A 23,976-nucleotide genomic window follows, 5' to 3' on the forward strand; every position below is an offset into this window, starting at 1 on the left:
CCACACCCAGCTAATTTTTTTTTCTTTTTTTTTTTAAGACAGAGTCTCACTCTGTTGCCCAGGCTGGAGTGCAGTGGCACGATCTCAGCTCACTGCAACTTCTGCCTCCCGGGTTCAAATAATTCTCCTGCCCCAACCTCCCAAGTAGTTGGGACTACAGGCATGTGCTACCACGCCCGGCTAGTTTTTTGTATTTTTAGTAGAGACAGGGTTTCACCGTATTAGCCAGGATGGTCTCGATCTCCTGACCTTGTGAGCCGCCTGCTTTGGCCTCCCAAAGTGCTGGGATTACAGGCATGAGCCACCATGCCCAGCCAGCTATTATCTTTATTGGAATTGAACAGACATGGAATTTACTGGAGGTGAGGCATGGGAGGAAGTAGGATATGGAGGAAGAAGCCCAAGGTACCAGCCTGAGAACCAGGGTGAAGGGTGCTGCTGTTTATGAAGCTGGGGTGCTGCAGGGCAGGAGCAGGTTCAGGAAGGGAGATGGCCTTGGGTTCCGTTTGGGGCATGTGGAGGTGGGTGCACCTGTGAGACCTCAGGTCCAGAGCTGAGAAGGCTGGGTGGGCAGAAGATGGTGATTTGAAAGTCATATGGGCATAGAAATGGTATTGGAAGCCACAGGGATGATTTGAGGGGTGAATGCAAGATTAAATGAGAAATGTGCCAGGGATAGAGTGCTAAGAACACCCACAATGGCTGGGCGCGGCGGCTCACACCTGTAATCCCAGCACTTTGGGAGGCAGAGGCGGGCAGATCATAAGGTCGGGAGATCGAGACCAGCCTAGCCAACATGGTGAAACCCCGTCTCTACTAAAAATACAAAAATTAGCTGGGTGTGGTGGCGAGTGCCTGTAATCCCAGCTACTTGGGAGGCTGAGGCAGGAGAATCGCTTGAACCCGGGAGGCAGAGCTTGCAGTGAGCCGAGATCACACCACTGTAGTCCAGCCTGGGCAACAGAACGAGACTCCATCTCAAAAAAAAAAAAAAAAAAAAAAGAACACCCACAATTAAAGGAACAAGTTCTCCAACAAAGGATTCTCATAAGTTGTGGCCTGAGGGGAACAGAATAAAAAGCAACAAGGTGTCATGGAACTCAAGGAAAAGGGACCTTCATGAAGATGAAGGGAGAAGTCAGCTGTGCCTGGTGTTGGTTTTTCCTTTCTAGAACTAAAAGCCAGAATGATTGACAAGGCCCCCCAGTGATGGGGACCATGGTCCATTCACTCCCAGCAAACCTTGGGGAAGAGGATGCAGCGTGGAGGTAGCCTGTGGAGGAGGATGGAATCCTGCCTCCTGCCAGGGTCTGTCCCCAGCCATACTGTGGTGGTTTCATTGCAAATCACCAGGTCCTGGGTCTGACACTTTACTTTCCCTGTTCCTGCAGAGTGACGGTCACGCAAGCTGATCTGAACCTCCACTGGCTTCTCAGACTCAAACCAAGCACTTCTCTTCCTGGGATCACGAGTTCTATTCAGAGTGGGCCCTGGAGGCCTTCAAAGCTGGGCCCCAGGTTCTCACGGTGAACTAAACTTTCTCCGCAAACCCCCTTGGCCCCACACCTGGCTTATCTGGCTCCAGCCCTGAGCCACCCAGCACTGTCCCGATGTAAATACGTGTTCAGCAGAGACGCACAAGGACTGGCAAGGATGCCTCATACTAGTTGATCCTAAATCTAAAAGACTATGTTTTTGCTACATTCACTCACATGCATCACACACCTGTAGGCACACATGAACACATACATGCACACACGCACACATTTTCTTCCAGTTTAACTCATGCTACTTAGAGAACCAGCTAGAAGGTGAGCTTTCTCCTAGGCCCTCTCATTACAGATGAGGACACCCAGGCCCCAAGAAGCTCAGCGTTTCACCAACAACCCTTGGCAGTGACGGTGAGTGTGTCATGCTGAACCCCTCTCCCTCTCTCTCACCTCAGTGCTCCTTTTAACTTCCTCTCTTTATTTTATTTCTTGCCAATTCATGCCCTGCCTTCCCTCCAGAACTCAACCCTGAACCTTCTCCCACCGGCACAACCGTCTGTAACCAGCCCCTGCTAACTCCTCAGAACGAGTGGATGCCGGAGAATGTTGACTTCCTCCCAAGAAGAAAGTGAAGGAAGCAGAAACCTCCTGTCAGCCAGATCCCACCAGGACCCCTTCCCACAGACCCACTTGATGCTGCCTCTCACGGCAGCAGGGGAATGCTTGGTGGGGGTGGCTCTGCTTCTCATAGCAAAGAGAGAATTCTTGGAGGGCAGAGGCTGTCCTCAATATATTTTCCACCTGGTCCCCACCCTCTAACCGGTGTTCTGTTAGAAATGCGTGCACCACACATGTCTCTCAGAGGCCAGGCGGGCTTCAGGGCTACCAGGGCACCTGGATGGGCTCCACCCCATGCCCAGAACCTCAAGAGCTCTCTGTCCTGGAGGGAGTCCACTTCCTCCGAACTTCCCAGGAAGCCATCCAGCCCACTGACATCCATCAAAAACAAGCTCCCTGGGCAGGCTGTGCTTGGAGGAAGGATCCTCTAATGTAGCATCATCCCTATGGGGGAGACCTGAAGCAGACTGTTTTCAAAGTAGTTTTTCTATCAAGGCCTGGGCAAAATGCATTCATTAGAAAAATCAGAGGTGGAAGGAAGCTCATGAACTCATCAAGGTAAACAGAATCTGCAGTTGGTTTACAATCGTCTCTCTGATATCCCAGGAAAAATATATCTTACAGTTTATCTTAGGGATGCCATCAGAGAAAGGTATATATGTATAGGTGTGTGTGTGTGTGTGTGTGTGTGTGTGTATGTGTGTGTGTGTGTATATATATATGCATATATATGTGTATATATGTGCATATATATGTGTGTATATATAGGTATATATGTGAATATATAGGTATATATGTATATATAGATATATATGTGTATATATGTATATATAGATATATATGTATATATGTATATATAGATATATATGTATATATGTATATATAGATATATATGTATATATGTATATATAGATATATATGTATATATGTATATATAGGTATATATGTATATATAGATATATATGTATATATATGTATATATAGGTATATATGTATATATAGGTATATATGTATATATAGAGATATATGTATATATAGGTATATATGTATATATAGAGATATATGTATATATAGGTATATATGTATATATAGAGATATATGTATATATAGGTATATATGTATATATAGAGATATATGTATATATAGGTATATATGTATATATAGAGATATATGTATATATAGGTATATGTATATATAGGTATACGTGTATATATAGGTATATGTGTATATATAGGTATATGTGTATATATAGGTATATGTGTATATATAGGTATATGTGTATATATAGGTATATATGTGTATATATAGGTATATGGGTATATATAGGTATATATATGTGTATATAGGTATATGGGTATATATAGGTATATATATATGTATATATGTATATATATACGCACACACATAGATATACACCATATATCTGTGTATTAATCCTGTTTATATATAAATCATATATATGTATATACTATGTGTGTATGTATACATATGCATATATACAAATATACACCTGCTCATATACATATACACGCAAAGGCATATTTATGTGCTGTTTTTTTGTTTTGTGTTGTTTTGAGACGGAGTCTTGCTTTATCGCCCAGGCTGGAGTGCAATGGCGCCATCTCGGCTCAGTTTTTAATAGCAAAACATTGGAAACTTCTTAAATGCCCATCAGTAGGTGACAGTTTAAATCACAGGTCTGCAAGTGGGCCAGTGGGCCAAAACCCAGTCTAGGACCTATTTTGTGAATAAAGTTTTATTGGAACATAGCCACACCTGGTCATTTACGTCTTTGACCAATTTGGAGCTACAATAACAGAGTTGAGTGTTTGCAGCAATGACCATCTGACCCACAAAACCAAAAATATTTACTATCTGGCCATTTACAGGAAAAGTTTGTCGACGCCTAGGTTAAATTATGCTTCCTCTAAATGAAGCTATTAAACGATCCTGTAAGTCTGTAATTATGGCTACGAAAAGCCCATGATCTCTTAAAAAGTAAGAAAATTAGTTGGAAAATGTTAACACAATCCCATTTTTATCAAAGCAAAATGTATTCACCTGAACGTGCATACAAAAATGTGCATTGAAAACTATGTATCTTTCCTCTAGAAAGTTATGGGAGAAGGAAGATAATAGACGGTGTTTTTTCTTCCTTATATTTTCTTTTTGTGTTTGATTTTTAAATAATGAGTACACCTTAAAGTTCTTTTTATTGGGAGAAACAGTTGCTCACTTCCTCCACTCCCTAATAGCTGGTGAAAGGTGTCAGCTTTAGGAAGGGCTGTGTCAGGGAAATATCTTGGCTTCTGGGGTGTTGGGGCAACAAAGGGCCAGGAAAGACAGCCCCTCAGAGGAACAGACCCCAGTGACATCCTTGGGTGGGCCCCCGCCTGAGCAGCAACTTCTTCCAGCTCTGTCTCCCACTACAGCCTCTGCCCTTGGCATGGTCCAGAGCTGCGATGGCGAAAACTCATCACCAAGCATTGCCTCCGCTGCACCCAACCCAGCAGAAAAAGAGTCCAGAGAACATCCTGGTCCTGAGTCAGCCCCTGGCTTCAACCCACAGGACACCACAGGGCGCCACGGGACATGGCACAGCGCCAGATGCCAGGGATCCGAGGAGACAGAGCATGATGTCCAAACATGAATGGCTTATTTTTAGCAAAGTCCAGCCCTCACATCCTGGCCCTGCTCCAGGGTGAGCAACAACATTCCCTCTGACTCAGCTCCGCAAGCTGACTCGGTTTCAGAGGAACAAGGTAGTCTCTCCTTGCTGACGTTAGCGGCAGGCAGTCCTCCCCTTCAGGAAAAATCTGTACAGCAGTTCTGATTCCTTCTGGGACTGTGTGCTGGCTGCTTCCAGAAGAAACATAACTATTCCCTTCACAGTCTGGGCTTCGGAACTGGGTGCAGAAACTTCCACACTCCATCTCCTGGACTCCCATCTTCTAACCTTCCCGTGTGATTTCCAAGGAAACCAGATGGCTGCCTTCTCCCCCCTCTTCCTCTTCCTCCTGCACAATGAGCCGAGAGACCCAACCCTGCAGCTCTGGCCTGAAACTGGGGCCTGTTTCTCGGGGGTTTCTGTCTCTTCAATCAGTCCCCACACTGTGTCCAGCAGACTAGAGCAATGAAGGGAGGAATCATTTTCTTCCAGTAACGACACTAGAACCTATGTTCTGCTGTAATGAATGATACAGGTTTGCCAGGAAGACGTGTCATCAATGCCAATAAAACAAGGCAGAGTACAGATACCTCCAGAGATCTTGCCAGAGAGGCTCACAGCCCCGATAGGTTTGTGTATGTTTTGGGGTGGGGGAACATGAGAGAATGAGAGATTATTTTCCTTCTGGACGTTCTCAACATGCCTGAAATAGCAAGGACACAGCTGTCCCTCCCCAGTTGTCCCTGTGTGATTGGAATTGCAGGAGTCAGTTGTCTCAAAGCAAAGAAAGTGCAGAGCCTGCACGTATCCAGATCTTCCGAAAGACGAGGCCCTGTTCTCCTGGCCTGGCGCCTGGGTTTCTCATTTGCTCCTAGGTCTCTGGTATTGTGCCGCCTGCATCCCAGGCAACGCCAGCAACCCAAGCCCCGCTGAACAAGTCAAGACCTCTCTGGATGAGGTCAGGAGCTGGAGCTTCCCCTTATTTTGTTAGGAAGCACCATGCGTCAGCCTTTATTCACACCCTATAAAGTTGTAGCCTTTAAGGTTAGTCTCTTCCACACCTATAATTCTCCACCAGAGCAATTTGCTGCAGAGAAAGAGCCCTCCAGCAGGCAGTACCTGTGAGTCACGGCTTCTTCCTGGCCCCCGCCCGCCCTAAAGGAGTGGCTACTAACAGGCACCTTTGATCCTCAGGCTGCTCTGGGAGTTGGAAGAGTCGCGGAGGCTCACCTGTAGTCATAAGGTCAAGAGACTTGCCATGAGAAATAGTAACAGTAGCACCGCCTGGATCCCACCCCCGGTCTTCTCCTTTGGGCCTCTGTTCTTCCTCTAGGGGTTGGATCTTTCAGCTCTGCCATCTGCCTTTCATATCATCAGTTCTATTTTTGTTTTGTTTTTGTTTTTGTTTTTGTTTTTGTTTTTGAGATGAAGTCTTGCTCTTTTGCCCAGGCTGGAGTGCAGTGGCGTGATCTCGGCTCACTGCAACCTCTGCCTCCCGGGTTCAAGCAATTCTCCTGCCTTAGCCTCCCAAGTAGTTGGGACTACAGGCACCGCCAGGCTAATTTTTGTATTTTTGGTAGAGATCGGGTTTCACCATGTTGTCCAGGCTGGTCTTGAACTCCTGACCTCAAGTGATCCACCCGCCTCAGCCTCCCAAAGTGCTGGGGTTACAGGCGTGAGCCACCACGCCCAGCTTAGTTCTATTTTTGAGTGAACAACACTCTCCATTGGCAGGGAAAGGTCACCTTGGTATGTGGCCTCGCTTACGGAGTAGAGTTTCTCCAGGGCCTCTCCCAGGGCTGTTCAAATGACCCAGCACAACCCTTCAAGTGACTTCCCCTTCTCTAAGACTCAGTTTCCTTATCTGTCCAATGGTGGAATTGGAGTAAATATTTGCTAAGTTTCCATCCAGCTCTAATGTACTAAAAATCTATGAAAATCTGGATTTTCCCATTTCCAGACAAGCCTGGTACTACTCAACCTTAATCTACAGCCACCAGATGAAACCCGCTGCAGAGCCAACCCTGACACCAGCACCATGAGCTTCAGTTCACAAGCACCATTCTCACTGGAGCCCCACCAGACCTCGATGATGTGGACAGTGCCAGTTACGTGGACAGGCTGAGATGGGCGGATCACTTGACGTCAGGGATTCGAGACCAGCATGGCCAACATGGTGAAACCCTGTCTCTGGAGATGAGAAACACTTTGCCACATGCCAAATAGCAGCACTAATAATGTAGCAGCCCTGGGGCCCGAGCCTGGCCTCCTGACTCCGAGCCTGGTGCCCCACTTAGCAGCCCCACCTCTCCCCATGGGTGTCTACCTGGCTGGAAACGACACTGGCCAAAGGCAGAACCTCAACCTGCAGCCGTCAGTGGGCATTCAAGTGGACCTGCTAGGCTGGACAGAGAGAGCGGGAAAGGCAGGAAGGCCTGTTTCTTCCTCCATTTTGGCTGACACAGGCTCCTTAGCACCCGGCTGTCTGACCACCCTCAGATGAAGCTCTGTTCTCTCCATCCCTTTCCTCCTCCTCAGTCTCAGGGATCAGATGGGTGCGGGGCCCTGTTCTGGGGACACTGAGAGCTGTGCATTCAGGTCAGACGTGCACAGTTTAAAATTCACAGAGGAGGCCGAGTGTGGTGGCTCATGCCTGTAATCTCAGCACTTTGGGAGGCCAAGGCAGGCAGATCACCTGAGGTCAGGAGTTCGAGACCAGCCTGGCCAACATGGTGAAACCCTGTATCTGCTAAAAATACAAAAACTAGCCAGGCGTGGTGGCATGTACCTGTAATCCCAGCTACTTGGGAGGCTGGGGCAGGGGAATTGCTTGAATCCGGGAGGTGGACGGAGGTTGCAGTGAGCCGAGACCATGCCGCGGCACTCCAGCCTGGGTGACAAGAGCAAAACTCTGTCTCAAAACATAAAAAAATAAATAAATAAATAAAATTCAGAGAGGACCCTGGAGTCCCTTTCCCATAATCTCACCCCCACGCAAAAAGGGGCAAAGGAATCGTCATGGTGTAAACCATAGGTTGGGCTTCGACTGGGGACCTCCTCCAGCCCCTCAGCCACGTCAGAGTGGCCAGAACAGGGAGAAGGGAGCATTCTCTCCACCGCCCCCACGAGCCTGCGGTCTACTGAAGGTGACAGGAGATGTTTGGGGCGGGGGAAGGAAGGGAGGTATCTGTGTCTTGTCAGAGTTAGAAATTGCCCAGAACATTAGCAGGCCCCACCTAGCCTTCATCTACAGGCCCTTCGGCTTCTGCTGTGGCTCAAACTCGAAAAGACAACAGCCTTCTCAAAACATTTACATTCCTGCCAGGCAAAGATTCATGTGACTCTGAATCCCGAAGTACACAGGTTTTCATGGGAAGATTAAAAGAGAATTCCGATGATTTCATGACAAAGTAGCCAGTCTTGCCAAATGTCATTTAAAGAAAAAAACAAAAAAGAAGAAGAATCCTTACTTTGCTTGCTTGTATTTTCTTTTCTTTCTGGGATCCTGTATGTATCAGTTTTATAACTTCATTGACAACTTTCAACTGGAATTTAATTAAAAGAAAATAGAGGCCGGACGCGGTGGCTCATGCCTGTAATCCCAGCACTTTGGGGGGCTGAGGCAGGTGGATCACTTGAGGTCTGGAATTCGAGACCAGCCTGGCCAACATGGTGAAACCCTGTCTCTACTAAAAATATGAAAATGAGCCGGGCGTGGTGACCGGCACCTGTAATCTCAGCTATTCAGGAGGCTGAGGCAGAAGAATCGCTTGAACTCAGGAGGCGGAGGTTGCAGTGAGCTGAGATCACACCATTGCACTCCTCAAATTAAAAAAAAAAAAAAGGAAATAGAGAGCAAGGTCAGCCTTGGTCCCCAATTTCTGCAGAAAGTGCAAAAAGAGATCACCAAGGCTTGAAACAGATTTGCAAAATTTGGCAAGGGTCCCAAGATTCGTGAAAGGATATGGTGAGGCCAAACCCACTCAAAGACCTCCAAAGATACTGAGGAAGGTGTTCTCTTGCATGAGCTGGGCTTCAGAAATGTTCTCTCATACTCCAGTGTCTCACACACACACACACACACACACACATACACAAACACACACCAGTGCCCTGCCCCGAGTAAAATTAGTTATTCTCTCCTTCACATGCCAAAGGGACAATCTTCAATGTTTCTACCCATGAAACGCTTTTGCCAGAAGCCTGAATTCATACAAAGCATATTCATCTAGACTGAATTTTTTAATATGGTGTATATATATATATTCATACACAATGGGATACTATTCAGTCATAAAAAAGAATGAAATCCTTCATTTGCAGCAACATGGGTGGAACTGCAGTCCATTTTATGAAATAAGCCAAGCACAGAAAGACAAATATTGTGTGACCTCACTTCTATGTGGGAGCTAAAAAAAAGTTGGTCTCGTGGAGGGAGAGAGTAGAATGATAGAGACCGGAGGCTAGGAAAGGTAGGAGAAGGGATGAAGAGAGCCTGGTTAGTGGATACAAACATACAGTTAGATAGAAGGAATAAGTTTCAGTGTTTGATAGCACAGTGGGGTGACTATAGTTAACAATAATATATTGTATATTTCAAAATAGCTAGAAGATTTGAAATGTTCCCAACACAAATAAATGATAAATGTTCAAGGTGATGGGTACCCTACATACGACAATTTGATCACTACACATTGTATGCTTGTATCCAAATATCACATTTACCCCATAAATATGTATAAGTATTCTGTATCCATAAAAAATGCAAAACTAGGCCGGGCATGGTGGCTCATGCTTGTAATCCCAGCACTTTGGGAGGCCTAGATGGGCGGATCACCTGAGGTCAGGAGTTCGAGACCAGCCTGACCAACATGGTGAAACCCCATCTCTACTAAAAATATGAAGTTAGCCGGACGTGGCGGCGCATGCTTGTAATCCCAGCTACTCGGGAGGCTGAGGCAGGAGAATCACTTGAACCCAGGAGGTAGAGGTTGCCGTGAGCTGAGATCATGCCATTGCACTCCAGCCTGGGCAACAAGAGCAAAACTCCATCTCAAAAAAAAAAAAAGCAAAACTGAAAAAAAAGTATCTTCAGCTATTCACAGTTAGACCCATGTTGGAAAATTTGAGTCAAAATAAAGCATGTACATTCAATATATGTGTGCACATTAATGAGAACAATGTTTTTGTACTGTTGGCCCTGACCTTGGAATATTATTAGAATGTTTTTTAAGGAGAGGGGAGATCTCTATTTGGGTTTCGATTATTGTTCAACACTGATGTTACAATGATAGCGGCTGTGGTGAGTCTCCCTGACTGATGGGACAATGAGGCACAGAGAAAGCCGGGGCAGACAGTGGGAGTGGGATGGGGAGAGTGAGATCCCCACAGCAACCACAGCACATGGCAGCACACAGACTCCACCACCCTAGAGCTGGAGTCGGGATTCAGTGGACTGGAGTACAGTGGCACGATCTTGGCTCACTGCAACCTCCACCTCCTGGGTTCAAGCGATTCTCCTGCCTCAGCCTCCCCAGTAGCTGGGATTACAGGCGCCCCGCCCGCCACCATGCTTGGCTAATGGTATGTGAGAAAATGTAAATCCAGAGTCCTGAGTCATCAATCCTGAATTAGAATACACCACCTGTACTTCTCAAGACCTACCAGGAATTTGCATTTGTTCCATCTACTAGCATAAAATACAAATCGCTGAGGGGTCCTTAGAAGGAGCATCTGAGTCCATTTTCTGTTGCTTATGACAGAATATCTAAAACTGGGTAATTTATAAAGAAAAGGAATTTGAGCCAATCACAGTGGTTCATGCCTATAATCCCAACACTTTAGGAGGCCAAGGCCTGAGGAACACTTGAGGCCAGGAATCCAAGACCAGCCTTGGCAACATAGGGAGACCCCATCTCTATGAAAAAAGTAAAAAATTAAAAAAATTAGCTGGGCGTGGTGGTGCACACCTGTCGTCCCAGCTACTCAGGAAGCTAAGGTGGGGAGAACACCTTTAGCCCAAGACATTGAGGCTGCAGTGAGACATGACCACACCACTGCAGCCCAGCCTGGGTGACAGAGCAAAACCTGTCTCAAAAAAAAAAAAAAGAAAAAAAGAAAAGAAATGTATTTCTTACAGTTATGGAGACTGAGAAGTCCAAGGTCAAGGGTCTACATCTAGTGAGAGCCTTCTTGCTGTTGGGGACTCTGCAGAGTCCCAGGGCAGTGCAGGGCATCACATGGACAGGGGGCTGAGTGTGTTAGTGTACTCAGGTCTCTCTTCCTCTTCTTATAAAGCCACCAGTTCCACTCCCATGATCACCCATTAATCTGTTAATCCACAAATGGATGAATCCATTCATGAGGACAGAGATATCATGGCCCAATCACCTCTTAAAGGCCCCCTCTCCATACTGCCACTTCAAGGATTAAATTTCAACATGAAAGGGGAAAAGCATTCAAATCATAGCAGGGAGGTATCTCTAAATAGATCTAAGAGGGCTCAAGACACAGGGATGAAGAGCTTTGAAAGCTATAGTCTTATTCCACTAATGGTGCTATCGTCCTGGCAGTTTTGAGATTGCCCATGGGGACAGTTTATTGACTATTCTTGATGATTAAATAAATAATAACTACTTATTCTTTCATGGTGGATATGATTTGTGGAGGCAACCAAGAGAAGACAGTAGAGTATAGAGGTGAAGAACTTGGATTCTTTTGGAGCAGTGGTTGGTGTCACTGGAATAAAGTCTCCCAAGGGACTGCTGTAGTCTACACATGGCAATATCACTGCTATGGCTTGAATATTTGTCCCCTCCAAAATTCATGTGGAAATTTAACTACCATTGTAACAGTATTAAGAGGTAGGATCTTTAAGAAGGGATTAGGCCGTGAAGGCTCTATTCCCACATGTAGGATTAATGCCATTATAAAGGATGAGCCTATCCTCCTTTTCTCTCTTTGCCCTTCTGCCTTGGGCCATGTGAGGACAAGGCATTGCTCCCCTCTGGAGGATGCAGTGTTTAAGGCACCATCCCGAAATCTGCCACTCCTTGACATTGGACTTCCCAGCCTTCAGAACTGTGAGCAAATTAACTTCTGTTTTTTATAAATTACCAGTCTGTGATATTCTAACAGCAAAAAATCAACTGAGATAATCACTTCCTCTCATGTTACCTTGGTGAAAACCAGCCCATGGTTCCACTAGATAGAGGGACTAGCCATGTACCAGAAAAGAAGATGAAAGCAAGTATTGAGAAGCACAACCCAAGGAATGGATCACTCCGGCCCTGTCCAGGACTCATCCTCCCAATGGAATCAACGGCAGGGAAGCATGGTGACCCTTTTAAAACAAATATGTCTACATTGGTAACCTATCAAATCAGTGAGAAAACAGGTCTGTGGTATCCCAGATGTCTCAAGTGTGCAGGCTTAGGTTTAGCTATTTATCCAAACACCAAACCCCCAAACACCAAACCCTCCGTTGAGTCTGCCCAAAATTCCACTCAGGATGCTCAAAAATTCTGCTCATGTGGTTCTAGGCCACTGCCCCCTTACCCACCCCAGATTGTCCCATGGTCCTGCTTTGGTAATTGCTATAATGCAATCTGCTTTTCTTCCAGGTGTGTGCAACCTATATTATGTATCTGTGATGCAAATCATGCAAAGAACCAGGTGGCTACTTTCCATTTTATCTCATGCTCTCAGCTGATATTAAACAGACCTATCTGATTTTCTTTGTCTGCATACTTTCAGTTCTGTTTTTGGTGCTTACCTATTATTACTTTTATATTTCATGCTTCATGTTACCACTCATCAATTTGCTCTCCTATCTTATGTCTATAAAATATCTCCAGATATGTAATAAGGAAGCAATACATGAGTGGCCTCCGGGGAATGGAACTCGGTGGATATAGGACTGTCTAGAAGGGAGATTTGAGGACATTTTAAATGTTGAACTACATGAGCAAATACTTAATCAAAAATACTTTTTTTTTTTTTTTGAGACAGAGTCTCCCTCTGTTGCCCAGGCTGGAGTGCAGTGGTACGATCTCAGCTCACTGCATCCTTCGCCTCCCGGGTTCAAGCGATTCTCCCGCCTCAGCCTCCCAAGTAGCTGGGATTACAGGCACCCGCCACTAAGCTTGGCTAATTTTTGTATTTTTAGCAGAGATGGGGTTTTACCACATTGGCCAGGCTGGTCTCAAACTCCTGATCTCAGGCGATCCACCTGCCTCAGCTTCCTAAAGTGCTGGGATTACAGGCATGAGCCACCACACCCGGCCTCAAAAATACTTTTGAAACAATAATAATGAAATTAATAATGTTCATTGTTGTGATAAGTCTAGCAAGGAGATCTTATTGGTAAGGAGAATGGGGAAAGAGGAACTATCTGTGACCTGAAATAGAATCCCAGAGAGAAAAAGAGAGTTGCTTAAAGAACATATTTAAAAACATTTGTGGTATGATATGGAATGTGACCACCTTCCTCCCACCTCCACCAAGAAATATTCAGGAAAAGCTACAAAACCCATCAACGCTTTGGGAGTAAAGGATGTGGAGAAATTGGAACTTTCATGCACCGTGGGTGGAAATGGAAGATGGCGCAGCCGCTATGAAAAACAGCATGAAGCTTCCTTAAAAAAATTAAAGATAGAATTCCTATATGATCTTAAAATTTCACTTCTGGGGCTATACCCAAAAGAACTGAAAGCAGGGTCTCAAAGAGGTATTTGTGCACCCATGTTTACCATAGCAGCATTATTCACAATAGCCAAAAGGTAGAAGCAACTCAAGTGTCTATTGTCAGAGGAATGAATAAACAAGATGTGGTCTATCCATGCAATGGAATATTATTCAGCCTTGAAAAGGAAGGAAATTCTCACACATGCTATAATGTGAATGAACCTTGAGGACATTATGCTGAGTGAAATAAGCCAGTCACAAAAGAACAAATGCTGTATGATCCCACTTACATGCGGCATTGAGAATAGTCAAATGCATAGAAGCAGAAAGTAGAAGAGTGGTAGGGGGTGGCTGGTGTGAGGGTGGGGAAAGAATGGGGAGTTAATGTTTCCTGGGTATAGTTTCAGTTTTGCAAGATGAAAAGTTGTGGGGATGGATGGTGGTGATGGTTGCAGAACAATGTGAATGCACTTAACCCTACTGAGCTTGCACACTTAGAAATGGTTGCAGTGGTAAATTTTATGTTATGTGTGTTTACTACAGTTTAATTTTTTAATTTAAAAAATACTTTATATGCTGTGTGGTGTGTGTGTTTGTCTGTGTGTGTGTGTGAGAGAGAGAGACAGATGTTGGGTTGCTTGGGGGTGGGGGCATTGGTGGGTGATAATGTATTAAGCCTAGATGCAAAGCAAGGGCAAGATGACCTGTAACATCCGTGTGACATCTCTAAGGCAATCCTTTGGCAAATGACGAGCATTGCTCAGGTAGTTTATTTGGCTCCAAAAGTATCTTGAACCTCCTCCAGCAGTGCTGCCAACTCCTGGCACCCAGCATGGTGTTGTGTGCTTCTTAGTTGATAGAAAAAATCGCCTCCCTTGGAGGATATATAGTGTGGCTTCTGACATCTTCCTTGTTTGTCTTGGAGTGAGATTTCCCTTCCTTCCCTTCCCACATCTGCTCAGTCATTCAGCCAGTAACTATTCGTCCGTGCACACCATGGGCCAGGCTCTGTGCTAGACACAGGGGATTGAGAGGTGAACACAGCAGTTGCTGCCTGCAGGAGGCTCCCAGTCCAGCAGGAAAGACAGACAAGCAGACAAGCACCTGCCACAAAGCAGGAGGCACATGATGATGGATGGCACCAGGAGCTAAGGGGACATGGGGCATTGCAACAACCCATGTCCAGAGTCATCTGAAGGGCATGGAGAGTGTCCCCAGAAGTGGGACACTCACAGTCCAGCTGAGATCTGAGCTCCTATGGAAAATTCAGAGTTATTCCTGAAAAAATGAAATAAAATAAAATAAAATAAAAAAGCCAAACCTTAGAGGGGAGATTAGGGAATAAGAATACAGAGGTGCAGCTACTCAGAGAACAGCACTGTGGGGTCTAGAAGAGATCCAAGAGAGGACATGGTGTCTTTAAGGAACAAAGAGAAAATAGTAGCACTAAAGCACGGAGCACCAGGGGGACTGTGCTGAGGCAGGCAGTCCCCAGGCACTGAGGGTCTTAGCATCTGTTTAGGAGCAGCCGGTCACCATGCCAGGGACAGTGGGAAACATTTGAAAGTACTCAAACAAAGGAGCACCCTAAGGCCATTTGCAATTCTAAATGAACAACGGAACTGCACCTTGAGTTGGAGGAGTGTGAGGCCGGTGTGGATGTTGGGACATCTGTGTATTAGTTCCATGTGGCTGCTGTCACAAATTACTACAAACTTGGTAGCTTAAAAAAACAGAAATTTATTACTTCACAGTCCAGGAGGACAGAAGTTGGAAATTTGTTTCACTGGGTTCAAATCAAGGTGTTGACAGGGCCAAGCTCCCTCCAGAGGCTCTAGCGGAGCTCTCTGTGGCTTCTGGTAGCTGCAGGCATTCATTGGCTTGTGGCCGCATCCCTCCAATCTCCACCTCCATCTTCATTATCACCTTTACTGTGTGTCCCATCTCCTGCTGCCTCTTCCTTGTAAGGACACTTGTGATGGTATTTAGGACCCACCTGAATAATCCAGGATAATTTTCTCATCTCAAAATCTTCATTTAAACCCTTGTACACTGTTGGTGGGAATGTAAGAAGGTACAGTCACTATGTAAAACAGTATGACAGTTTCCCAAAAAAATTAAACATAGAATTACCATATGGTCCAGCAATTCCTCTCCTGGGTATAGGCCCCAAAGAACTGAAAGCAGAATCTAAGGAGATATGTGTACACCCATGTTCACAGCAGCACTATTCACAATAGCTACAAAGTGAAAGTAATGCAATGTCCATCAAAGGATGAATAAACAAATGTGCTATATACACACAATGGCATATGATTCAGCCTTCAAAAGGAAGGAAATTCTCTCATACACTACAGAAATAAGCCAGTCACAAAAGGGCAAAGACTATATGAGTCTACCTTTGTATTTCATTTTATTTTTGAGACAGGGTCTTGTTCTGTCACCCAGGCTGGAGCACAATGGTGTGATCCTAGCTCATTGCAGCCTCTGACTCCTGGGCTCAAGTGATTCTCCCACGTCAGCCTCCCCAGTAGCTGGGACCACAGGTGTGCACCACCACACCTGGTATATTAGTCCGTTTTCACACTGCCAATAAAGACATACCTGAGACTGGGCAATTTACAAAAGAAAGAGGTTTAATGGACTCACAGTTCCACAAGGCTGGAGAGGCTTCACAATCATAGCAGAAGGCAAAGAGGAGCAAGTCACATCTTACGTGGATGGTGGCAGGCAAAGAGAGAATCTGTTCAGGGAAACTCCCATGTTTAAAACCATCAGATGTCGTGAGACTTACTCACTATCCCAAGAACAGCATGGAAAAGACCTGCCTCCATGATTCAATTACTTCCCACCGGGTTCCTCACATGACACTTAGGAATTGTGGGAGTTACAATTCGAGGTGAAATTTGGGTGGGGACACAGCCAAACCATATCACCTGGCTAATTTTTAAATCTTTGGTAGAGACAAAGTCTGACTAGCTGCCCAGGCTGGTCTCGAACTCGTGGGCTCAAATGATCCTCCCGCCGCAGCCTCCCAAAGTACTGAGATTACAGGAGTGAGCCACTGTGCCGGGCCTCATTCCACCTAATATGAGGTATCTAGAGTACTCAAATGCATAGAGAGAGAAAGTGGAAGAGTCGTTGCCAGGGGCTGAGGAGAGAGAGAAATAGAAGTTATTAATGGGTACAAAGTTTCAGTTCTGCAAGACAAAAAGAGCTCTAGAGATGGACGGTGGTGATGGTCACACAACATAGGAATATACTTAATGCCACTGAACTCTGCACTTAGATGAATAAACTGGTCAAGTCTATGTTATATATTTATCACAATTTTATAATTTTTTTTGAATTCCTTAACTTAATCATATTGGCAAAAACTTTCCCACGTAGCGTAACATTCACTGTTTTCCGGCGATTGGCACTTGATATCTTTGGGGCCACTATTCAGATGGCTACAGTCACTTAGGAGACTACTGCAGTGGTCCAGAGAAGAAGTGATGGAGGCATGAACTAGACCAGAGGCAGTGGGGATTCTAGAGCTGCCAAGGAGGCACTGCTGGTGGGAGCTGGGAACCGGGCAGGAAGAGTGATGCCTGGCACCCTGGTTTCTGGCTGGGGCAACTTGCAGAAACTCTCAGGAATGCTGAGAGAAGAGCAGATGGAGGGTGGGATCAAAGGGAAGACTGGTGTTGGGGAAGAGGTTGAGATGAGTTTTAGACACATTTGCAGGTGTCGACCAAAAGCTGGGCCACTGAGCAGAGACCTGCCTACATCTTGAGGCCCACACAAAGGTCTTGTCCCAAATAGGGGAGCCATGGCAGAGCAGGGATGCTATGGAGGGAGGAGGCAGCCACAGGCAGGGCTTGGGGATAGTCTGGAAAACAGAGAATGAGAGGAGTCAGGGCAAAGAGGCGAGGTCTGTGGAGGTGCCGCAGGAAGGCGTTGGGCGCTGGCTGCAACTGAGAGCTGGGAGCTCAGGAAGGCTCAGGTGGCTGGACCCGGCCAGGGGGCAGACGCGGAATAACAATGGCCTTCCGTGAGGGCAAGGCCATCTGTAGCAAAATGTCCACCCTCCATGCCAAGCCTCCCACCCAAACATCCCTTCTGATTTCCCATGCTATGAGGGCCTGAGCACCGGAGCCCTTGGAGAGAAGATCCATCGGAGGCGGAAAGGTGGGGGGACCCACGTGGCTCAGGTTAAACTTACACCTGGCTTTGCATGGAGAAGTCTTGGCAAACTTCTGAACAACAAATCAAGTTACAGATGGCTGAAACAAACGGTAGTTTCCCAGGAGCCGCTGAGACCATCAGCAGGAGGCCTGTAGACTTTCATCCAAGTCAGACTCAACCATATCTTTCTTTTTCCAATTTTTTAAAAATTGTAGTAAGTAAAATACACATAACAGAAAATTTACCATCTTAACCTTTTTTTTTTGAGACAGCGTCTCACTCTGTCACCCAGGCTGGAGTTCAGTGGTGCGATCTCAGCTCACTGCAAACTCCGTCTCTGGGTTTCAAGTGATTCTCCTGCCTCAGCCTCCCGAGTAGCTGGGATTACAGGTGCCCGCCACCATGCCTGGCTAATTTTTGTATTTTTAGTAGAGACAGGGTTTCACCATGTTAGCCAGACTGGTCTCAAAACTCCTGACCTCAAGTGATCAGCCCGCCTCCGCCACCCAAAGTGCTGGGATTACACGTGTCAGCCACCGTGCCTGGCCTCCATCGTAACCATTTTTAAGCACGTTGTTCAGTGGTGTGACATGCATTCCCACTGCTATACAGCCATCGCCGCTAACCATCTCCAGGCACTTTCATCTTGTAAAATTGAAACTCTGCACCCATTCAACAATAACTCCCCACGTCCCATTCCCCTCAACTATATCTTTTTAAAGTGCTTTTCCCAGTGAAGTTTCTAACATTGCTAAAGAACATAAAATATAAAAACATGGCCATGCAGCAGGGGCTTTTTACCCTGCAGAATGCCCACTAAACCGTTTCTGTATGTTTAATTTTTTTAACCAAGGAAGTAGGGGATGCCCAAGATTTGGTCCCCAAACCAGAAAGACTGTGGGTTCCTTGCATCAAGCCGGGGCTTTTAGTCAACTCTCCCATGGGGACTCTGTTGGCCCGCTCCACCTCGGGTGTTCCCCCGCCCCTGCCTTTTCCTCTCTCACCTCCCCCATCCACCCCTCTCAGCCTTGCAGTCGACCTGCCTCTCCTCTGGTTGCTCCGTTTGTAGGGAGGGTCTGCTTGAAGGGAGTTCCCATTCTCTCTCACCCAGAGTCAAGGCTCTTGACTCTATTGTACCTAAAAAGCTCCTGAGGAATTTGACAAGGCCCCACCCTCAGAGATATGGGGTGAAGCCCAGGAATCTGTATTTTTAACAAGCATCCCAGGTGATCCTGATACTTGCACACACCCCCACACACACCCACGCCGACTACCCACACACTTCCATGGCCCAGAAGTCTGCAGGACCCACAGCAGGTATTCGGGACTATTTGTTCAATCCACACCTGAGTCGTTGCACGATTATGCTCAAGTCCCTCGGAACACCTCGCCTGCCATCTGACAGCTTCCCATCCAGAAACCACACAGTACAGTAAAAAACAGAAAAAAGAAAGCCGTTAGACCCCAGTGAATGTTATTTTTAATGAAAGTGGTGCATTTTGACTCACAATGTTGAAACCAGATTATAAATGAGTCATCAGTGAATCGACCACAAAGAGCCTTTGCGGAGGTGATTTACAGGAGAGCTCTGATGTCTGCTGTCCCCTGCACACGCTTCACAGAGATGCTGTCAGACGCAGAGCTGGTCTGGGGCATCTGTTGCCGCGTCAGCTCAAAAGGATGCTGTGTTGTCACCAATGGGATTCCCCAGCCCAGGCGGTGTTGCGGTCCCACCCACACAAGGAAGGCGGCCATCACTGAATAATGCTTGTGGTTACATCATCATTGCTGGTTTCCAGGTAGTGACTAGCAGATACTGGAGAGAGACAGGCCATCTGCTCTTCCTGTGCGCCTCAGCTCCTCCCTCATACCCACATCCTCTCGCCTGGTCTTCTAGAAGCAGCCCCTATGCAGACAGACCAGCAGGACTGAAAGCTGGACAGACTCGAGCCGGAGAGCCAGGTGGAACAACCTGGCCAGAAAGAGTCTGGCCGCAAAGAGTCTGGCCACAGCCCCACTTTCCTCATCTCTAAAATGTCCACATGGCTGCCTGCCCTGCCCGGCTCAAGGGAATGTTGCAAGGCTCTCATGGAAACCATGCTTGTGAGGGTTTTGAGGACTATCATAGCCCGTCCCAAGGTCAGAGGACAGTAGAAAACAAAAAACTTGCTTTCAGAGGGTGCTTTCACCAGTCAGCAGCCTCTGCCCCGGGCAAAGCCAGACAACTAAAACGGAATGAATCCGCAGAGTAGGGTGGGGATGAAATTCTCCACCTCCAACCCAGAAAGGAAACGCCAATGCTCATGTTTCCCCTTAGAGAAACAGGCAATGTTTGAACAGGAACAACGACGCCAGAGGGTCAATCCACACACAGAACACTCCATCTCCATGCCGATGGGGGACTGACTGTCCTGCTGCTGAACTGCACCCCTGGGGCTCTCCAGGACACTCCACTGGTGGCCACACTCAGGAAAATAAAGAAAAACCTTCAAAAGGACCCTTCTGGCCATTCAGAGAATGCACAGGCCTGCTAGCTCCTGCTTGCCTGCTCAGAGCTGCCTCCACTGGGGCAGGAATCTGCAGCCAAGAAAATCCCTGACAACCCCAGGGACAGAAGGGTCAGTCTGGGGGACCATCGACCAACCCAGCAACCCAGATTAGACTGCTCCACCAGGAACTCTGTGTCCAGAGAGCAGGATCTGCCACAAGCAAAACTAGGCCTCATTTACTATTCCACAATAGCAACTAGAAAGCATGTGACCCAGAAAACCTTCAAAGAAGGCCAGAAATTCATTAAATCTGAAAAGAAGGGAAGAAGGGCGGGGGAGAGGAAAACACTGCTTAGCAAAGCCAACTGAATCCCTCTTCCATACATCACAGATGCAGGACCAGTCTCAGCATTCAAGAGGAAGAGAAAAATGAAAACAAAAACCAATCTGGAGTTGAATGTCAGCCTTCCCCTCACTGGTTCTGGGTCCTTTGGAAGGCCATATTGTCCCCGGACCTCTCTTGCTTCAGTGGCCTTCCTGCCAGGATTGCCATAAGGATTAAATGGACTCATATATGTGTTGTACCTATACAGTACCTGCAACACAGTAAATATCCAATAAATGTTGGTTTCTTGCTACAAGAAATTGTAAAATATGGGCACAAATTCCTCCTACTTTGTTAAGCACATCCCTTGGCAATGACTTAGCTGCTACTCCCATCAAGAGTTGTGGTCTATGTCCCTACCCCTTGAATCTGGGCTAGCCTGGGACTTGCCTCAACCAGTAGAATTTAACAAAAGTTACAGTGTGTGACTTCCAAGGCTAGCCCTTGCCGCTTCCACTTTTGCCCTCTTGGAATGTGGCCCAGAGACAACCATCTAAGGAAGCTGATCTAGGCCACTGGAAGAGGGGTGGGCAGATGGAGAAGTGATGTCCCCCAACCAGCTGCCAGTCACATGAGAGAGGCCATCTCAGATCTTCCGGCCCAGCTGAGCATTCAACTAAATGCAGTCACATTAGTGAGCCCAAGCAAAACCGGCAGAACTGTCCAGACAACTCATAAAATCAGGAAAACAATCAATTCTTGTTTTTTTTGTTTGTGTTTTGAGATGGAGTCTCTGTTGTAAGGCTGGAGTACAGTGGTGCTGTCTTGGCTCACTGCAACCTCTGCCTCCTGGGCTCAAGCGATTCTCCTGCCTCAGCCTCCTGAGTAGCTGGGACTACAGGTGCCCGCCACCACGCTCGGCTAATTTTTTATATTTTTAGTAGAGATGGGGTTTCATCATGTTGGCAAGTATGGTCTCAATCGCTTGACCTCGTGATCCACCCACCTCGGCCTCCCAAAGTGCTGGGATTGCATTGTTGTTTTAAGTCACTAAGACTTGCGATGATTTAGTATGCAGCAAATTCTTACTGAAATAACTTTCTTATTTCCACCTCTAAAACATCTTCTCCCTTGGGCATTCTTGGGTTTCCCTTAGCCACACCACGTCTGGTAGATTATTCGATGAAAAACTAAGAGTTTATGGGGACCAGGAACTATGGTTTTCACAGTCATCAAGTCATTTTTATGCCCACATGTTACGATAATTAATCAATCAAACAATGAAGCAGCATCTGCCAACCCAGGTTCATAATTAGCAAATCTGCCTATTCTACCTTTAAAATAGATGACAAATTCAATGACTTATCTCCAATTCCACTACAGTCTCTTACCTGGATTATTGTGTTACCCTCCTAATTGGTCTCCCCCTTCTATTTATGTCTCTCTACACGTTGCTCTTCTCCACAATGAAACCAAAAAGATTTTTGAAATATATTCACTCATGCATTCACTTCTTCAACAAAAATTTAATTTTTGGCCCAAAATACCTTCCTCTGTGGAATTTACATTCTAGTTGACGTTTGAGAAATTAATAAGTAAGTTAATCAATAAAATATATGATGTGATACACTCAGCAAAAAATAAGGCAGGAAATGAGGAGGCATGGATAGATGGTGTTGGGAGGGATAGCAGTTGTGAATAAGGCAACCAGGGAAGGTTTCAATGAGAAGGTGACACTTAAAGACCAATGGAATGGCAAGTGTAAGCACCCTGAGACAGAACCATTCCTGGCATACTGCAGAAATAGCAAGGAGGCTAGTGTGGCTATGCAGAATAACCAAGGGAGGCGCGCCACTGCACTCCAGCCTGGGTGACAGATTTAGACCCTGTCTCAATAAATAAGTAAATAAGCAAAGGGGAGACTTAGGATGAAATGAGTTCAGAGAAGTAATAGGGAAGGGAGGTGGAGAAAGTCAGATTACACACCACCTTGTAAACCAATGTAAAGACTTAAGCTTTTGCTCTAGTGGTATGCAGAGCCATTAAAGCATTTTCCCCAGAGGAGTTACATGATTTGATGATGTATATTTTAATAGTACCACTCTAGATAATGTATTGAATACAGACTGAGGAATATTCTGAGATGATGCCTATCACATAACTTTTTAATGTCCCCAAATACTAACATAAAAATAGGTAGTACAGCCGGGCGTGGTGGCTCAGGCCTGTAATCCCAGCACTTTGGGGGGCCAAGGCAGATGGAATCACTTGAGATCAGGAGTTTGAGACCAGCCTGGCCAAGAAGGTGAGACTCTGTTTCTACTAAAAACACAAAAATTAGCCGGGCATGGTGGTGCATGCCTGTAATCCCAGCCACTCAGTAGGCTGAGGCAGGAGAATTGCTTGAACCTGCAAGGTCAAGGTTGCAGTGAGCTGAGATTGTGCTACTGCACTCCAGCCTGGGCAACAAAATGAGACTCTGTCTCAAAAGAAAAAAAAAAAGGTTAATACAAGTATTAGAGAAGAGCAAAACCAAAAATCCATTTGCCATATTTGTCACAAAACTACCTAACAAAGTATCCCCATGGTTTCCAAAATACAAGTGGGTGGGGTGAAACCACCAACAGATCCCAGCTCTGAGTAGAATTACCATCTGTACAAAAGGAAGCAAAGGCGGAGTCGGTGCATGTGACAGACCTGAGAATCCCCAAATACCCAAGAGGACTCAGTGGAAAGCTGAGAGTCAATTTGAGAACAAGAGCTGAAACGGGAAGGGTTTTGCCCACTCATATACTGGGTGAGTTCAAGGAGTCAGCAGTAAAGGTCTGAAAAGGCTAGAACTGTCTGAGAAAGTCCCATAAATTCTAAAAACTAACCAACCAAAACTCCTTCTGTGACAAAGCCTCACACTGAGAAGAAACTTCTAGGAATAGGACCCAATTTGAGCAACACATGGGGCAAGAGAGACAAAAGAAAGAGACAAAGGAAAGGGTAAAAAGGGGGTAAGAGGAACACAGAGCCTAGAGACCTCAAAAAGTGAGCCACCACATTCCTAAACACTGTGAAAACAACAGAAGAGAGAACTTTAGAGCAGTGAGGCTTAAAAAAAAAAAAAAAAAAAAAAAAAAAAAAAAAAGCCAAGTAGCTCTGTATCTTCTAGAGATTCACAGAAACTAGTTTATATTAAAATTTTCAATAGAAAACTATTAAAGGCCAGGCACGGTGGCTCACACCTGTAATCCCAGCACTTTGGGAGGCCAAGGCAGGTGAATCATTTGAGGTCAGGAGTTCAACATCAGCCTGGCCAACATGGTGAAACTTCATCTCTACTAAAAATAAAAAAATTAGCTGGGTGTGATGGTGTGTGCCTGTAATTCCAGCTACTCAGGAGGCTGAGGCAGGAGAATTGCTTGAAACTGGGAGCTGGAGATTAAAATGAGCTGAGATCATGCCACTGCACTCCAGCCTGGGCAACAGAGCAAGACTTTGTCTCAAAAGAAAGAAAACTATTAAAGTCAAATAATATATAGT

General features: G+C 45.9%; 8 annotated features.

Moving 5' to 3' along the window:
• Positions 5,235-6,434: an enhancer, noted in NCBI's record as "CDK7 strongly-dependent group 2 enhancer chr1:235133684-235134883 (GRCh37/hg19 assembly coordinates)". NCBI's record gives its function as "activates an origin of replication core promoter dependent on BRD2, BRD4, P300/CBP, MED14 and CDK7 cofactors, with strong dependence on CDK7, by STARR-seq in HCT116 cells {active_cell/tissue: HCT116}" and the evidence as "EXISTENCE:reporter gene assay evidence [ECO:0000049][PMID:35650434]".
• Positions 13,535-13,594: an enhancer, noted in NCBI's record as "active region_2780". NCBI's record gives its function as "activates an Ori minimal core promoter by ATAC-STARR-seq in GM12878 lymphoblastoid cells {active_cell/tissue: GM12878}" and the evidence as "EXISTENCE:reporter gene assay evidence [ECO:0000049][PMID:35858748]".
• Positions 19,012-19,601: an enhancer, noted in NCBI's record as "active region_2781". NCBI's record gives its function as "activates an Ori minimal core promoter by ATAC-STARR-seq in GM12878 lymphoblastoid cells {active_cell/tissue: GM12878}" and the evidence as "EXISTENCE:reporter gene assay evidence [ECO:0000049][PMID:35858748]".
• Positions 19,012-20,071: a biological region, named in NCBI's record as "Sharpr-MPRA regulatory region 4658".
• Positions 19,200-19,494: an enhancer, noted in NCBI's record as "tiled region #4658; HepG2 Activating non-DNase unmatched - State 8:EnhW, and K562 Activating DNase matched - State 5:Enh". NCBI's record gives its function as "activates a minimal TATA promoter and a strong SV40 promoter by Sharpr-MPRA in HepG2 and K562 cells {active_cell/tissue: HepG2 | K562}" and the evidence as "EXISTENCE:reporter gene assay evidence [ECO:0000049][PMID:27701403]".
• Positions 19,445-19,945: an enhancer, noted in NCBI's record as "H3K27ac hESC enhancer chr1:235147894-235148394 (GRCh37/hg19 assembly coordinates)". NCBI's record gives its function as "activates a minimal SCP1, AML or CMV promoter by ChIP-STARR-seq in naive H9 embryonic stem cells {active_cell/tissue: H9 hESC(naive)}" and the evidence as "EXISTENCE:reporter gene assay evidence [ECO:0000049][PMID:30033119]".
• Positions 19,612-19,681: an enhancer, noted in NCBI's record as "active region_2782". NCBI's record gives its function as "activates an Ori minimal core promoter by ATAC-STARR-seq in GM12878 lymphoblastoid cells {active_cell/tissue: GM12878}" and the evidence as "EXISTENCE:reporter gene assay evidence [ECO:0000049][PMID:35858748]".
• Positions 19,892-20,071: an enhancer, noted in NCBI's record as "active region_2783". NCBI's record gives its function as "activates an Ori minimal core promoter by ATAC-STARR-seq in GM12878 lymphoblastoid cells {active_cell/tissue: GM12878}" and the evidence as "EXISTENCE:reporter gene assay evidence [ECO:0000049][PMID:35858748]".

This window comes from Homo sapiens, chromosome 1 (genome assembly GCF_000001405.40).
Source record: "Homo sapiens chromosome 1, GRCh38.p14 Primary Assembly".
NCBI classification, from domain to species: Eukaryota; Metazoa; Chordata; class Mammalia; order Primates; family Hominidae; genus Homo; species Homo sapiens.